Source organism: Homo sapiens, chromosome 20 (genome assembly GCF_000001405.40).
Source record: "Homo sapiens chromosome 20, GRCh38.p14 Primary Assembly".
NCBI classification, from domain to species: Eukaryota; Metazoa; Chordata; class Mammalia; order Primates; family Hominidae; genus Homo; species Homo sapiens.
In genome coordinates, this window is record NC_000020.11 from 10,243,881 (window position 1) to 10,260,861 (window position 16,981).

A 16,981-nucleotide genomic window follows, 5' to 3' on the forward strand; every position below is an offset into this window, starting at 1 on the left:
AATCTATGAGACACATTTTTATGGCCACCAAACTATCTTCATCTCTTTGCCTTAGTTCCCAATCACTGTTTGCAAACTTTCTCAAATGATCTAGGACTTTGCAGACCCCTCAGTTCCCTGGGATTGAGACAGCACTTCCTGACTGTTACCTTGGGTAAGTTATTTAGTTTTGTCTCAGCCTCAATTTCCTCCTCTGAGAAATGGGTATTGGTCAAATATCTGTTTCTAGGAGTTATTGCCATGACTAAGTTAGATAATGCCTATAAGGTTTTGACTATGGTGCAAACATTCAACAAATGTTCACTATCAATCATGTTAATAGTCGTGGTAATAATTGCCTTCATTACTCTGACCTTGTGTATCTGATCTCTAGGGCCACAATAATGCACCTCAGTGACATAAACCAGTAAGTTAGAACTTACATTTGGGAAAGAGAGACATATTATAAAACTAAATCCACCAGGTTTATTTATTATAAAGAAACACTTAGCACTTACTATATGCCCAGCACTGTTCAAATCATTTTTATAAATATTAACCCATTCCATCTTCATAAAAAGAATTCAAGGTAGGAACTATTATCACTGTTTTACCCATTAGGAAACTGAGGCACAGTGAGGTGAGGCAGCTTACCTAAAGGCACACAGCCAGTGAGTGGCAGAGCCAAGATTTGAATGTAGGCAGTTCGACTTCAGAGTCTACACTTGTAACCACTACATGATGCTATGTGGGATAAACAAGAAGTATAAACTGTGTGAGACTGTGTGAAAGGTGACTGGGTCTCATCAGGAGCAGGAACCCAGTGAGACATAACATCTGCTAAATCTTTTTTGTTTCTTTCTTTCTTTCTCTCTTTTTTTTTTTTTTTGAGATGGAGTCTTGCTCTGTCACCCAGGCTGGAGTACAATGGCATGGTCTTGGTTCCCTGCAACCTCCACCTCCCAGGTTCAAGCGATTCTCCTGCCTCAGCCTCATGAGTAGCTGGGATTACAGGCACGCGCCACCAAGCCCAGGTAATTTTTGTATTTTTAGTAGAGACGGGGTTTCACCGTCTTGGTCAGGCTTGTCTCGAACTCCTGACCTCAGGTGATCCACCCACCTCGGCCTCCCAAAGTGCTGAGATTACAGGCATGAGCCACTGTGGCTGGCCATCATCTATTAAATCTTAAGCAAGCATATGCCAGACAGGAGAGAGGGGCCAGGGTTAGGAAAAGAGAGCTGAGGTGTTTGGAAAGATTGCTAAGGAACCTCCCAGTCTAGTGTGGCATCCTCTACAAAAGCCAGCTGGTATTAAGCATTCTCCCCCAAAGCCAACTAATATTAAATTTTCTTTCAGAGAAATATCTCATTCTCTCTCTCACTGTCTATATCCTGCTCTCTCAATTTCTGAATGTGCCCTTGGGAATTCAGACGGTCTTTGGTTTTAGGGAGGTTGGAGCTGGCAGGGTGTCTCTTTCAATAACTGGAACTGATCGCCGGTATAAAAGAACCTGGACCACTCAAAGCACATCCTCATGCTGTGTCTTCCACAGTCAACATCAATCCACCCTCCTTCGCTTTTAGGTCAGGAGTTTCGTAAGGCAAAGGAAGTTTCTGATTGGGAGAACTTAGATTAGCCATCAAATTATATTTGGGGTAAGTGAATGTTCATTTCAAACTGGGGGGTCTAAAAAAAGTTTTGTTTCTGGGGCAGTGTGGGTTTCAAAGTATCGCATTTACAGTTTCACCCCGGGCGTGTGCCCAGATCCAAAGTCTTGCATCAGAATTCAACTACAAACTTCTGGGCGACAGAAATGCTATCTTCATCTTATACACACACACACACACACATACTGACAATTCCCACACAATAAGTGCTCAACATGTGTCTTAAATGAATCTACAATTAGACTTATGATAAGGTGCCATAACTTGCTTATTTGTCACTGCATCTGTATTTGAAATCCCAAGAACACATGTAAATCATAAGCTTTGTCCTTTCCTTTGTCCCATCTTGTCACCATATAAAATTATCTTTCTACCTCCAAAATTGGCAGGGAGGAAAAGCATCTTAATTCACTTCATGACTGAAATTTTAAACATACCTTTACCGAAGTCTGAGACTTCAAAGCTGTGTGCCCTTCAGCCCAGGTAACTAGTGAGTGTCCTCAAGCATTGACATTATTTAATGGAATTCATTTTATGCCTGAATATGTTGACTCCACTTCTGTCTAAAGTCTGCTGGGAAAACTTGGAATTCCAGTGGCTTCACGGAGAGCATATTGATTCTAAGCTGAGTCTGAGCTATTTCTGAGCCATTATGTTTCAAAGACAGGGTCTCACACTGAATTTTCCTGGTTTAGAGTAAAAGAGAAGATGGTGTGGGTGTATGCGTGTGTGTGTGCACGTGCGTGCATTCGTGTGCGAGCGCATCCTGCACACATCTGTGCATGTATGTGAGGTGAGGGGAGAAGGTGGAGAGAGAGATAAAAGGGGGTTGGCCTATTTATTGAGAGGGAGGGGAATTGCACTTACAAGGTTCTCCTTATCAATGAAGACAGAATGATTGGCCGAGCCCAGGAAATTTTGACGTTTATCTAAAACGTCTTATGGAGAAGAAAGAAAAGAGGCAAACCACCCTGACAGTGGCAGGGGAATGAGTCCTATGGCTACCCACCATCCCCAGGGGCTCATCAGTACCCCAGCCCTCAGCCACAATGCACACACAGCCTCAGTGAAAACTACATGCTTGCTAAAAAACTCACTTTGCAGACAAGTCTCCTAAACTTCCCACCAAATTGCCACCTTTTAATTTCACAGCCCCCTTGAAATCCAGAAAGAATAGATGTGCCCTTCAAGTGGAGAGAGAAGGACAGAAGAGGAGAATAAATATCACTAATATTCATTCTAAAGATGTGTTCACCAGCCGCTGGGTACAATATTCCTGTTAGGGCTCACATCGTTGGGCACAATATTTGTTGAGCATTTATTGTGTCCAGGCACTGTCCTGCATGTAGTTGCAATTTAGCATAAAGGTTAACAGCCTGAGACCTAGGGGAAAGTTATTTAACTTTCCTGTTTCTCCATTCTTCATGTGTAGAAAAGGGGTGATGATCATAACATTGTTATGAGCACTGACACACATAAAGAAGTTAGACACTGCTTGACATGATGTGAGTGATTCACAGATGTCAACTATGGTGTTTCTAAGCATGAAGATGGCCTCATGCGTCCAGTTAAGATCCATGTGACCCAAAAGTTAGAAAAGAACTGGCAATTTCTCGATGGCAAATGCAAACATCTTTTTTACTTCTTAAAGGATTTGGGAAGCTGCAGAGAGCACCCTAGTTCTTCCCAGAAGGCTGCCCCTGAGCTCTTATACTGATGACCAACAACAGAGTGGTCAAGTGGTGCCACCAACAACCACTTGTTCTGATCAGTGATGACATTTAGGGCCGGCCCTGTAGCAAACTTTTTTCTGGCTCCTGAAATGAAATGAGATGACGAGATTTTATTTCACCAGTGACATTCTTCCTGTCCTAGCCCACAACTTCAGTATTCCCTTTTAGACCAACACAGGCATTAAACTGGAAATACATTTCAGCTTTGATAGAGGAAAAGGCTAAGAATAGAATCATTGGTTGTTCCTGAGATGCCATGTGAAAAATTTAGATTAAGTCAGGCTTCCTTTTTTCCTCTTGGCCTATTTTCTTTTGGTAAAGGATGTGAAGAGAGCACCTTCCATGACTGATGCGCCTTCCAAGCATGCTGCATTTCTGCTCTACTTGCTGCCTGCTGCTTACTCATCCTGATAGTCCAACTGTCTCTAAAACTCCTAACATGAAAGAAGAGAAAAGAAATTTGACTGCAGGGTATGGAGGGCAGAGCTCGGAGAGAGGATGATGGCACGAAAGCAAACTTTTGAGACATACTCAGTAGGTCAGTTAGCTTTTGCTTTGTAACAAATGACCCTCAACTTAAAACTTAGAGGCTTCAAACAACATTCATTTATTTAGCTCATGATTCCATAAGTCAGCAGTTTGGGCTGAGTTCAGCTGGACTCCCTTTGTAGTCTGTTGCTGGATCAGCTGGAGGGCTCGTTGGTTTAGAGTGCCTTAGCTAAGATGATTTCTCTCTGTTCCACAGGGTGTATCTCATGATCCATTAGACTAGCCTGGGTTTGTTCACCTAATGGTTGCATGGATACAAAGACGGATGGAGAACACTCCAATCTAATCATGTTGAGCCCATGCTTATGAGATAATGAAACCTAAAAAGTTGTTCTCCCCAGCTGAATTGCATGGGAATTATCAAACACACATGTGTGCACAGAAGCCAACAAAAAGTATACTTGGCTTTAAGGATAAGGGTACAGGGTGCAGGGAGACCCGGGAGACCCATAAAATAGTTTATAGCCAACCCCAACACCTCATGTAATTTTGCTGTTAACATTTTCCCTCCTTCAATGCAAATTATTTTATAGTGTTTTTTTCTGATTATAAAAGTAATTCGTGTTAATTGCAGAAAAATAGGCCAAGAGGAATATAACAAGGAAAATATAATTAACCATAATCTCATGTGCAGAGGCAATAATTATGAATAATTATTTTATTATACATACGGCATAACATGACCTTGTTTCTATCTATATTTAAATATCCAGTAATACCATTTGTTATGTGCTATATGTCAGAATGTCTGCTAACTGCTTTATATGTATTAATTCATTTAATCCCCACAACAACGATCATTTTTGAGATGAGGAAAATGGGGCACAGAGAGGCTAGACATCTTGCCTGGGATCACACAGCAAGTAAGTAGTAGAGCCAGCATTCAAAGTAGTGCAGCCCCACTCCTCAGAGCATTTTTGACCCTTAAAATCTGTACTATTGATCCACATCCAATGTTACTCAAACATTAGTGTGCACTAGAATCCCCTGAAAGGCTTGTTAAAGCAATTTGCTGAGCATCATTTCCAGATATTATGATTCATTTGGTCTGGGGCCTAAGAATTTGCATTTCTAACAGACTCCCAGGTGAGGCTGATATTACAGGTTCATCAACCACTCTGCGAATAACTCTGGTCACAGCAGTGTCAAGGTATGTACTGTTAATTCCGCTTCACAGATGAAAAAACAGAAGTTCAGAAAGATTCGATAAATAGGCCATGGACACACAGCTTGTCAAGTCTATGTTATATCCATTTTCCAGTTTACTCTCATGGAAAACAATAACAGCCAACGTTTACTTCATTTGATAGCTCGTGCCTTTCTTCTGGTGAGGCTATAGTGCTAAGGAGATAGTTCAGAAGTTAGATGCAGCCTCTCTGAGAGCCAGGTTTTACTGGGAGGTATGTGGATTGCAGCCACGCATTTGTTTGCTCATTCATTCAATCCCTTGGCAAGGAGCCCTAGCTGGGAAGCCCCATCGGTGATGGTTGGTGGTAGGATTCCTGCCCCCAGCAGCTTCCACATGCTGATACTGAAGTGACTGTTTCTGACTGAAGGAATGACAATCTCATCAAGTGAAGTATGAACAGAAAAAAAAAATGGCACAAAGATGTTACCTTTTGAAGCTATTGACGGGAACCTGTTCCAAAGACCTCTGTGCTATTTTCTAACAGCAAAGAGACTGGTATTATTTTGGCGGGTTCCTTACAAGAAAAAAAATAACCCTCCTGTGATGGCAGAGCCTCTGTGATGTCTGCCTAGATGGAGTGTAGCTTTTGCAGCCATGTAGGACCAGCTTGGAGCTCTCTGGGTGTCCATCCTTCCTGCTCAGTGTGGGCCACAGACAATAGCATCACTGTGCAACTTGATAGAAATGCTGATTCTAAACCCCACCACAGGCTGACTGGACTAGAATCTCTAGATTTGGAGCCCAGGAATCTGTGTTTTAATAAGTTCTCCAGGTGATTTTTAGAAGCCCTAGTCTAACAAGAACCCTGCAAAGCTAATTATTTTGCTTCCCAAGGAGAACAGCTAACCCTCTGGAAAGTTAAAACCCTTTAGGTCTAGTGTTAGACCTAAAGGTCTACTCTTCTCAAACTTTAGTGACCATCAGGATCACCTGGAGAGCTTATTAAAACATAAATTCCTGGGCCACACCCTCAGAGATTCCAATTCAGCGGATCTAGGGTGGAGCTCATGAATATGCATTTCTAGTAAGTTCCTGCATATGCTGCTGCTGCCTGTCCTGGACCACATTCCTAGACTCCTTTAGCAACATCCTTCTTAAAGAAAAAAAACTGATTGCAACTGTCAGACCTTTTCAAGATCTCTGTTTCCGTCATTCCCTTTCAAAATTATATTTTCTTATTTAGGGAACTCAGTTTCTTCAGAAAACTACTTACTTTTTAAACTTATTTTTCAATCAAAGTCCACAAACTATGTTAAAATAGAACTGGTTCTGGTCGTCCAGGGCATTTCTGAAAGAGCTTGTTGAGTGTAAGTAAATGGAAGAGGTATGGTATGGCTTCATGATTTCCTGTTCAGGAGACTTTAATCACCTTCCATCTGCTTAGAACCAGAGCTCTCATGATACACATTGTGGGGGACTAAATTTTCTGAGCACATTAGTCAAGCCCTGCAAAAATGACACCCAAATGATCACAAGTGGTCTCCAAGTCCCCTGAGGAAGAAACCTTAAAGTATTTATCTCTAGTCTCAAAAACCCTCAGTATCTTAACCCACAGTCTCTAGGATGCTAACGCTTAATGGGCAAAGTATGTAAAGAATTTTTTAAATTACTCATTGGACTCTCCTGTAAGTATTAACATGCTCAAATTAATTTGATATATATTGCCTTAAATAGTCCAAGGAAGATTGGTGCCAAAAAGCTTCATGAAACAATTAAAAAACACACACAGTCATGTGCTATGCATTTTGATCAATGATGGATAGATGGGTGGTCCCATAAGATAAGAATACCAGATTATTACTGTACCTTTTCCAAGTTGAGATATCTTTAGATACGCAAATACTTACTATTGTGTTATAGTTACCCATAGTATTCAGTACAGTAACATGCTAAACAGATTTGTAGCCTGGGAGCAATAGGCTATACCATATAGCCTAGGTGTATAGTAGGCTATCCCATCTAGGTTTGCCTAAGTACACACTATGATGTTTACACAACGATGAAATCACCTAATGACGCATTTCCTAGAAGGTATCCCCATCGTTAAGTGACGCATGACTGTATACTCCAATTTAAGATCCCAGCACCATGTCAAACAAAAAATGTTATAAAGATGTGTGAGACATGATCCTTGCCCTCACAATTATTTACTTGCTGCTTTCTGCATGGTAGGCACTCAGACTAAAAGGATGCTGGTGGAGTGACCTGTCAAACACGAATGTACACAGTATTTTTGTCTCCAGGAGAATTTGTGCTTCAAGGAGAATTTGAGGACCTATCACAGTTTCCTGGGGGATAGAGATGACATAGAGGCCAAAGTAGCATGAAGCAAGAAATACTGGGAAGGATACCTGAGAACCACACAGGAGTCCAAAGGCAGCCTTGGTCCAAGCTGCCAGCCTACTCCAGGAGATGCCATTTGTTCAGAATTTTGAAGGCTGGATGGAAGGCTGGAAAAGGGTTGAGGGATGATATTATGGCAAAAGAAATAGCAGACATTGGAAGGATTACAGTAAAAGTAAGTAGGGAAGCATTTTCATCAGGCATGCTCCTGAAGGAGCAATGATTAATAAGCATGAGATCTGATCCCTTGGAAAATGTTAAACAAACCTGTCCTACCTCCAAAAAGGAACACATAAATCTATTTGAATGGAGCCATGTTTGCCCTTGTGATTAAAGCAGGCTAACCTTTCCTGGGTGGCTTTTGTCTTTCCTTTTTGTTATTCATGAGATCTTCTGTTTTCATCGTATATCCCCTCAAGGTTCTAGGTAAATGAACTACAGGCCCAGAAAAGCTTGTTTGCCTATCATATGTTCCTCCTAGAAAGTGAATTTATGGAAATTTTGGATATTTGTGCAGCTACAGAAAAGGAAATCTCAAATCTGGGGAGATGGAAAGAACAGGAACCTAGAGAGACTTGAGGCACAAATTCTCTGTACATTTGTGTTTGACAGGTCACTCCAGCAGCACATGCCAAACCAGGATGAGCAAAGTTCATAAGCTTGCTTTCTTATATGGCTGCCACGACCTTCTAGAACCATCTGGAACTCTACCACCCTCCAGTTAACAGGCCCTATGTGCCCTGGTTTGCTCTTGGAAACATTCTGTACATCTGCACATACGGAGACACCCACGTGCAAACTCAGTAGAGGCAATGCATAATTTCCAGAGTTAGCACATGAATATCACATGAATGTATAGTGACTATATGTCAGAGATTTACTTACTTCATTAGTGAGAAAACCAGTAGGCAGATCAAGTCAGTTCACAGAGTATTTGAGGAACAAAGATTTATATGGTCAGTCAGGAAAGGGAGGTTAAAAAAATTTGTTTAATTGGGTTCAAAACTGATTAATGCCCTCCAGGCCATACAACTACAATGCTTGGGATTATCTTTTCTACCACAGATATATCATTTGCTTCTTTACTAGATGAAAGTCATGTGCTCAATCTTGTATAAAGTAACATGTAACTTGTCAGTCTGGTCTCTAATCAAGGGTAAATAACAAAAACTTTTGACGGTGATTGACATGTTTATTACTTTTATTGTAGTGATGGTTTCATGGCAATATACATATGTTAAAATTTAACAGATTTTGAAATAAATGTGTGCATTCGTTGTATGTTCTTTATACTTCAATAAAGCTGTTAGAAAAAAATAGTAAGCCCAAACAAGTTACATTCCCCTAAAAAATTACATAATCCCCAGGCAGTCCTATTAGAAAATGTTCCAATATGATATAAAAGAATTTTCTCATCTTTTTTTTTTTTTTTTAGCTTTCAAGCTTTAGATAATTTTTCTTGACTTTAATTAAAGTAGTTGTTCTCGACTCAAAGAGATTTAAGTTTTGGCCACTTAGTAAGTGTGTAACCTTAGGCAAAATATTTAAACCTCCCTGAGGCTCAGATTCTCCATCTGAAAAAAAAAAGGGAGATAATAATAGATCTCTGTTTCATAGGTGTATTACTAGGGTTAAATAAAAATATGCATTTGGGTGCTTAGCACAGCACCTGGTACATCTTAAGGACCTAGTAAAGGTTACCTGTTCTTAATTATCATTTCCAAGGAGCAATGTAGCTCAGGAGCTATGTGAATGAGAGACGATGAGACAAAAAATATCATAGACCAGGGATGAGACCCTAAGGACACTCAGAACTGTGTTCTTGACCAGGTCACTTGTCTTTACCTTTTTTCTGATTCCTCAGCTACAAACCGCAAGGAGTAGATGAGAGCTAAAGCAGGTCCTAATTTTTAGACTAGGATTCACCAGGCCTTGGACTGAATCCTGATGGAATCCTGGCTTCTTCACATCCAGAATCTCATAAGCTCTTAGGGCTCTCTGTCCACGGTATTGTATCTCAGTGATGAGGACTCTGGATTCGAATCCTGATTCTGCCACTTACTAGCTATGTGACTCTAGGCTACTTACCGAACCCCTCTGTGTTTTGGTTTCCTATCTATAAAATGGGGATGATGAAGGCACCCACATCACATAGAGCTGGTGGGACTATGATACTGAGTTATCACATACCAGGATCTATACAGTGCTGGGAGGACTCTACATGCTCAGGGATCATCCCTGTTACTATGAGCACCTGTGAATGAGTGGTCGGGCAGCCAAGGGTCCCATTCAGCAAGCCTGAGGAGTGCTGGTGGACTTCTCAAAATGATGAGACTTGAAAATGTAATTTTTATATGCAGGACAATTCCCCTTTGCGGTGTCACCCAGCAATAACTCCAAAGGTGTATTTGGGGGTACTAATACAAGCTGTCTGGCAGTTGTAGATGTGGTTTAGTGACATTTGTACATTTTGTGATCTACATGTCACACACACCCTGGGACTGGAAAAAAGGTGTTAACACCCACAAAGGGGCTGACCAGGCAGTTCTCAGGGTGGCCTAGCCAGACCTTCCACCCTGCTGACTGGCAGGGTTCCCTACGCAGGATGTGCCCTCCTCCTCCCACAGAGCCCACAGATGGCTTACCACCTGCTTTGGGGAAGACGGCTGCTTCCTAGTTCTGGGGCATTGCTCAGCCTGAGCTACAAGATTTATCCCCGGAGGGTTCCTTTAGCAGGCACTGTGGGTCTCCTATGAGATCCCTTTGTTCCCTTTTACCAGCCCATTGCATAGCTTCTGCATGTTTTGCTGCTAAAGGCAATCTATGATTTTACTCATACAGAAAGTTGCTTCATCCATACAGAGACCAGAAATGGCTGGGAGTTTTTGTACCTCACAAGTGGCTTTAGCCAATGACTGACTGACATAGAAGTGCGCAAAGCCCAGCTCTCTCTCCTGGAGGTGAGGCATGCTCTGAGGTGCATTTAAGACTCCAGAGCTCCATGGAGGATGATGCTGATGCTGGCACACCCCCCTTGCTTGGCTTCTTCCCCTTTCTTGACCTATCTCCTCCACTCCCTTCCTGATCTCCCCCCAGAGCATTCCCTCAACAAATTCCCTTTACATAGACTCTTAGCTCAGGGTTGGCTCTTAGAAGCAGCAAACCCAGGAGGAGCTCCTTTTCCCGCGCACTCCCACCTCCAGTAGAGAAGTGCCTCTCTGCAAGTAGCTTATGGAATCCCAAAGGAGGACGGTCCTGCTCTGAAGTTCTTAGAAACACAGAACTTTGAGCAGTTTGCCCTATCCTGAGCTACCTGCTTTGTAAACACTTTGGGAGCAGGAGGAGAAACCAGATGGGAAGACACAGGCCTTGCGGTAAATGGAGAAAACAGCAATTCAAATCCTCCAAGGAAAAAACAGTTCCCCCAGGGCAAAGTGCTGGAGACGCATACCTGCCTCGGGTCTGGAAAATTATTTTTTAATGCACTGGGCAGTCTCGGAGCCTCATGAACTTCTTCCAAAACAGATATAGCCTGCCTGTGTCTCATTGGCCTCAGGGAAAATCTCTCTAGCTTCCCTCTTCAGCTCAGCCTCTATAGAAAAGGGTCTGTGCCTTCCGACTGTTTCTTCATCTGAAGTAAAAAGATTGATGGGACACAATGGGACTCCTGAGCCCAGCCATTTGTGGCTAAGGTACTTGAAATGATATAGAGGGATCCCTTCTCCCCAAGCCATCAGGGCAGCCCATAGCCTAGACTTTGGGTAAGAAAAATATCTGAAAATTTGTCTTTTGGAGTTTGCCAAATCCCAGGGTCCAAGTGGGCCCACGGATAAGAATAACGGTTGTGACAGCCAACCTGCCAAGTTTCCAAAAGACTGGATGGTACTACACAGACTCACTGGTGTAGCAAAGCACTTCAAACTTTGATTGCTTAAACGGCCATCAAACGATGCTTGCTCCTCTGGCCACAAGTGACACTCTTAAGTGTTGTCCACCCTCTTGTATGTTTCCTTCCAATGGGCAAATAACTCTTTGAGCTATACAGAGACTAGGTGGGAGAGGGTGAATGGGTCAGGGTAAGTTCCTCCAAGTTTCTGGAACAGTAACACCCACACACACACATACACACACAATTTATTTCCTCTGCCAACTCAGGGTTCTGGGGTGGGAATTCACTGTGGTCTATACACTACCTGGCAATTGGAGATGCAAAATGTAGGGTTTTGGGCCCAAGAAAGCTAATAAAGAGTACAACTTGAGTACTAGAATTACTAATGAAGTACAACTCATTAAAAATATTAGTAGGCAAATCTACCTTTTCTGTGATTTAACACAGGAATCGTGGGTTAGAAGATTTGTGTCCTCCATTTATAGAATATTTTTCTGTTTTCTTGGACATAATTAAACATTCTAGCCTCCTTTCCCTTTGTTAATATGGCTTTGATAACTTTGGGCTTCATTTACGGATTTTGTATAGGGCTATTAAGCGCAGAACAGTGAGACTATGATAATTATAAGAATAGAAATAAATGCATAATAACAAAACTTACAAAAATCGATTCCATTACATTCAGAACTGGTAATAAATCAACATTATGTAAAAAAACCTTTATGCATAGATAATGCAAGGGCATAAACAATGTTTCAAAGGGAGAACATGTGAAGTAGAACAGATGGATTTAGGCAGACCTGTTACTGGCAAAGCTACAAGCTGCTTGCAGACAGATTAAAGCCATCTTAGAGAGGATGAGCTTTGGGTTGTTTTTCAACACCTAAGTGTTCCATAAATGAGTAAGAGTTAAAATCAGAGCTAGGTATCTCTAAGAAATAATAATAGCTAAGATTTAGGCAAGAATGTACTTAAACTAGTTTGTTAGTAGTTGAAACCTTCATGTGCATCTTTCAAGTCTATCCGCTATTACGAAGGACCATTAATTAACCTACATATTTTATTTTAAACTTCTTTGAGTCATAAACTAATGGAGAAAGAATGAATTATTCAATAAATGATGTTGAAAAAGGAGCTGTTTGGAAAAATATAGAATTAGGGCTTTAATTCTTTCCGTATGTACACTAAAACAAATTTTAGCTGGATTAAAACGTTGAATTAAATATGACCACTGAGAAAACTAGAAAAAAATGAACTTTTAACTCATTTTGGAATATGCAAACATTTTACAGATAAAATACTGAGGAAATCACAAGTTAAAAATATACACTGATGAGCCTTTGTTGAAAGCACTTTGGTAATATACCTCAGCTGTCATTAATTTATTTTCTTTGACCTGTAAATCCACTCCTGGGAATCTATTATAAGGAAATAATCCAAGATGTAAATGCAATGTTTGTGTAAATATGTTCATGATAGCCTAACTTACAATGGCAAAAAGAAAGGGAATGGAAAGGAAAGGAAAGGCTGGGGAAGGAAGAGGAGAGAGGAAACAAAACAACTCTAAACATCCAGTAACAGGAGATTAGCCAAATAAATCTTAATATGTTATGTGAGGGAACATCATGCAGTCATTAAAAATGTCATTTGAGCAATGTCTAATATATGAAAATTTTCATAATGTAATTGACTATAAAAAACAGGATAATATGTGTATATCTGATTCTTTAACAAATAAATTTATGTATATGCAGGCATACACATGTATATTGATTCTAAATAGTGCATTGGTTCCCAATCTTGGCTGCACACTAAAGTCACTGGGGAGCTTTAAATATACTGCATCCTGGGATTCATTCTCAGATTCTGATTGAATTGGTCTGGGGTGTTACCGGGGCATCAAGATTCTTTTAAAGCTCCCCAGGAGATTTAAATGCACCCCTCCAGATTTGAGAACTATGGGCATATGATTTAAAAAAGGAAAAAAACAATTCTTCACTGAGAAGACTTGGAGAAAGAATAAATATTTATTTAGCCTTCCGAAGCAAAAAGACATTCACCTGGCCACAGTGGCTCATGCCTGTAATTCCAACACTTTGGGAAGTTGAGGCAGGTGGATCACTTGAGTTCAGAAATTCGAGACAAGCCGGGCCAACATGGTGAAACCCTGTCTCTACTACAAATACAAAAATTAGCCAGCATGGGCCAGACGCGGTGGCTCACGCCTGTCCCAGCACTTTGGGAGGCCGAGGCGGGCGGATCACCTGAGGTTGGGAGTTCGATACCAGCCCAACCAACATGGAGAAACCCCGTCTCTACTAAAAATACAAAATTAGCTGGGTGTGGTGGTGCATGTCTGTAATCCCAGCTCTCAGGAGGCTGAGGCAGGAGAATCGCTTGAACCCAGGAGGCAGAGGTTGCAGTGAGCCGAGATTGCGCCATTGCACTCCAGCCTGGTCAACAAGAGCGAAACTCCGTCTCAAAAACAAAACAAAACAAAAAAATTAGCCAGCATGGTGGCATGCACCTGTAGTCCCAGCTACTCAGGAGGCTGAGGCAGGAGAATTGCATGAACCCAGGAGGCAGAGGTTGCAGTGAGCCAAGATCATGCCACTGCACTCCAACCTGGGCAACAGAGTGAGACTCTGTCTCAAAAAAAAAAAAAAAAAAAAAAGTTCACCTGCTAGCTGCCAGCAAATTTCATAGAATAGTGCCCAAGGAAAACCTTACCTGTTTGTATTACTAAGAAAAATTATCCATAACTTGGAAATAAAGCAAAATGATGGATGCACATCTTTCATTTGACATACTGGTCATCTAATGGACCCACTCAAGGATTATCCCATTCTCTTTCTTTGACGTACTATTAACTTTTATCAGGGTCCAGACTCTGTGAAGTTACATGTTTGTTAATTTAGAGATCTCGTGTCATGGAAATTTAAATGATTCCTGTGTGATAGAAAAAGCAACTGCAAAGGTGACACTTTTATTGCTCCGTAAGATATTAACCAGCTTTGTATTTCAGTTAGTAATCTTATTCCAGTATTATGTATGAATTCTCTTTGAACCAGCTTTACCATCTTGTTGGCTCTCTCATTAATGAGTTAATAAATCTTCATCACATACTCCTTCTATATTTTTATGAGACTCATGTTTTTAACTTTTTGAAAGGGTACCTTGAAAACTATCCATGATCAAACATGGATTTAGTGACAGAAGTGAACCTAGAAAACTCATCCTGAGTGGAGACTGATCCAGCAACAACATCTTAGCGTTTGGCCACAAAATGCTTCCTTCTCCCAATGTTCTCAGAACATGCGCTCTGTGTGGCTTACAAAAATCTCCAGGCCCTTTGCCCACAAGGTCTAATGCAAGCGCCTTTTAAATCCACTCCATGATAATGATAGGGAATGCCAAATTGAGTAACTGGAGAAGTCAAATTTACCCACTAGGGTAGTTACAGTCACAGTAGTTACTTACCTTAAGCAATTCGATATTTGGGTAAATCCAATTTTACCAATCAGTCTTCTGCCATCATTGACTCCCACAATCACTTCAGAGACACTTTATCATCATGTGGAGCTCTTCTGCCATCAAATGGGACTCCTGACACTTTGGCCAGGGACCTTTTTCTATTTTTTGTTACCCCTCTCTGTGTCAAATACTCCCATAATGATCTATAAAATTCTAGAATATAAGCTAGTAGCTTTGCTATTTAAAGAAACCCTGCAGTGAATTCACTTCTAGAGCAAATAATTTTCCGGAGAGTTTAACTGCTTAGTAGGTTGGCGTATAGTAGGCTTGTTCAGAGTGGGATTGTGTTCATAGGTCCTGGTTTCTTCAAAGAGGGACATAGCAGAACTGTTATCTAAGGCTATATATATACAAAGATATATGTATGGCAGAGTATGGCAGAATATATATATATTCAGCAGAGGTGATAATAATGATGAAGTCCAGGGTGAATGCCCATGTTTTTTGATATGAGATTATCAGATTAATCTGAGGAATAACAATTAGGTTGGCATTTTTGTTTCTCTCACCTCCATGGAAGCAGAATTTGCAAGTGAGTCAGCTCCTTCCTGGGAGTTTGCTGGCTTAGGAAATGTCTTTCTTGTTTCCACAGTGGTTCCTGTAATACTGAGGAGCAGATGGTGTTTCTTCCAGCATGGTAAACTTTTCCAAAAAGGATGGGAGGATAGAAAGAATTAAGTCCATCAGCATTCTAATCTCTATGACAGTCTTGTGGGTGCAATTAGATTCTGAGGAACCATTTTAAAGGACCAGCTAATCAGGACTTTTTTTATTTTTATTTTTATTTTTTTTGAGACAGAGTCTCATTCTCTTGCCCAGGCTGGCGTGCTATAATGTGATCATAGCTCACTGCAGCCTCTAACTCCTGGGCTTAAGCCATCCTCCCACTTCAGCTCCCCAAGTGTCTGGGACTGCAGGTGCACACTGCCATGCCAGCTAACTTCTAAATTTTTTGTAGAGATGGGTCTGGCCATGTTGCCCAGGCTGGTCTGAAACTCATGGCCTCAAGCAATCCTCCTGCCTTGACCTCCCAAAATGCTAGGATTATAGGCTTGAGCCGCTGTGCCCAGCCAGAACCCATTCTTATGAAGTGACCTGGGTTTGTGTCATCAACACTATACATACACCTCGGCTTCCTTCATAGAGCCAGAGACCTCAGGTTTGGAAGAGAATTTGCACATCACCTGATCCAACGTCCCATCTTATAAATGAATCATGTCCATCAAGGCTACCAGCTGGTTGGTCAGCCTTTCCCTGAAATAGGGAACTCACTTTTTCTGAGTCCTCTAACCCAGACTTTGGACAGATCTCTTAGAAATTTATTCTGTCATTTCCTCCCAGTGCTGATGGTTTTATTCCTTAGAGTCTGTTGCAAATTTTCCTCTGCCAATTTGGTAATTCTCAGTAATTATTTTAATAGATGTAGTTAAAGTAGGTGAAGTTCGTAGGTCTCCTCCCTCATGACATTGAAACTAGGTATTATATTTAAGGAAAACAAGCCTCAGGATGGATTCTTCCCTCACCAAAATATTTCTTAGCAAGCAGACACAATACTAGTTGGAAAACTTGTTCTATAAACACAATGAAGTATGCATTTTCTGTTCACTTGGGCATTCCAATCAGCACCTTGCATAATATTCTAGTGGCAGGATTCAGGTGACCTTGCAGTCAGATCAGATTAAAACAAACAAACAAAAAAAGTGGTTCTTAAAGTGCATTCCCTGAACCACCACCAGCAGCAGCATCAGAGAATGAGAATCTTAGAAATGCAAATTGCTAGGCCCTACCCCAGAATCACTTACTACATCAGCAATCTGAGTTTTAACAAGTGCTACCCATGAGAATCGGTCAGGAAACTCCCCTAACCATGACAGAATCAAGGAGCAAATGTAAGCCTTAGGTTAATGGCATACTTAGACTCACTACACACACACACACACACACACACACACACACACAAACACACACACACACACATCTGCCTTATATTATGTGGGATGGTAGTACATTTACAGTATTTCTAGCCAATTTTTACATTTTGAACATTCATTCCACCAATAAAAAATTATTGCTAACATCCATTAGGTTAATTAGTAA

At 41.1% G+C, this 16,981-nt stretch overlaps 1 protein-coding gene across 15 annotated transcripts in view; it reads left to right on the forward strand.

Annotated features, from left to right (window-relative positions):
- Positions 1-16,981, forward strand: part of SNAP25 (synaptosome associated protein 25) — an 88,589-nt gene that overhangs the window by 25,051 nt on the left and 46,557 nt on the right. For 2 of the 15 annotated variants that reach the window (NM_001424415.1, NM_001322905.2), the window contains exon 2: positions 95-154. The exons of 11 other annotated variants lie outside the window; for them this stretch is intronic. The gene's annotated coding sequence lies outside the window, so the exon portion shown is untranslated. Of the gene's footprint in view, positions 1-94; positions 155-895; positions 1,014-15,476; positions 15,522-16,981 lie in introns of all 15 variants that reach the window. 2 more of the 15 variants (NM_001322908.2, NM_001322909.2) reach the window with 2 other exon arrangements.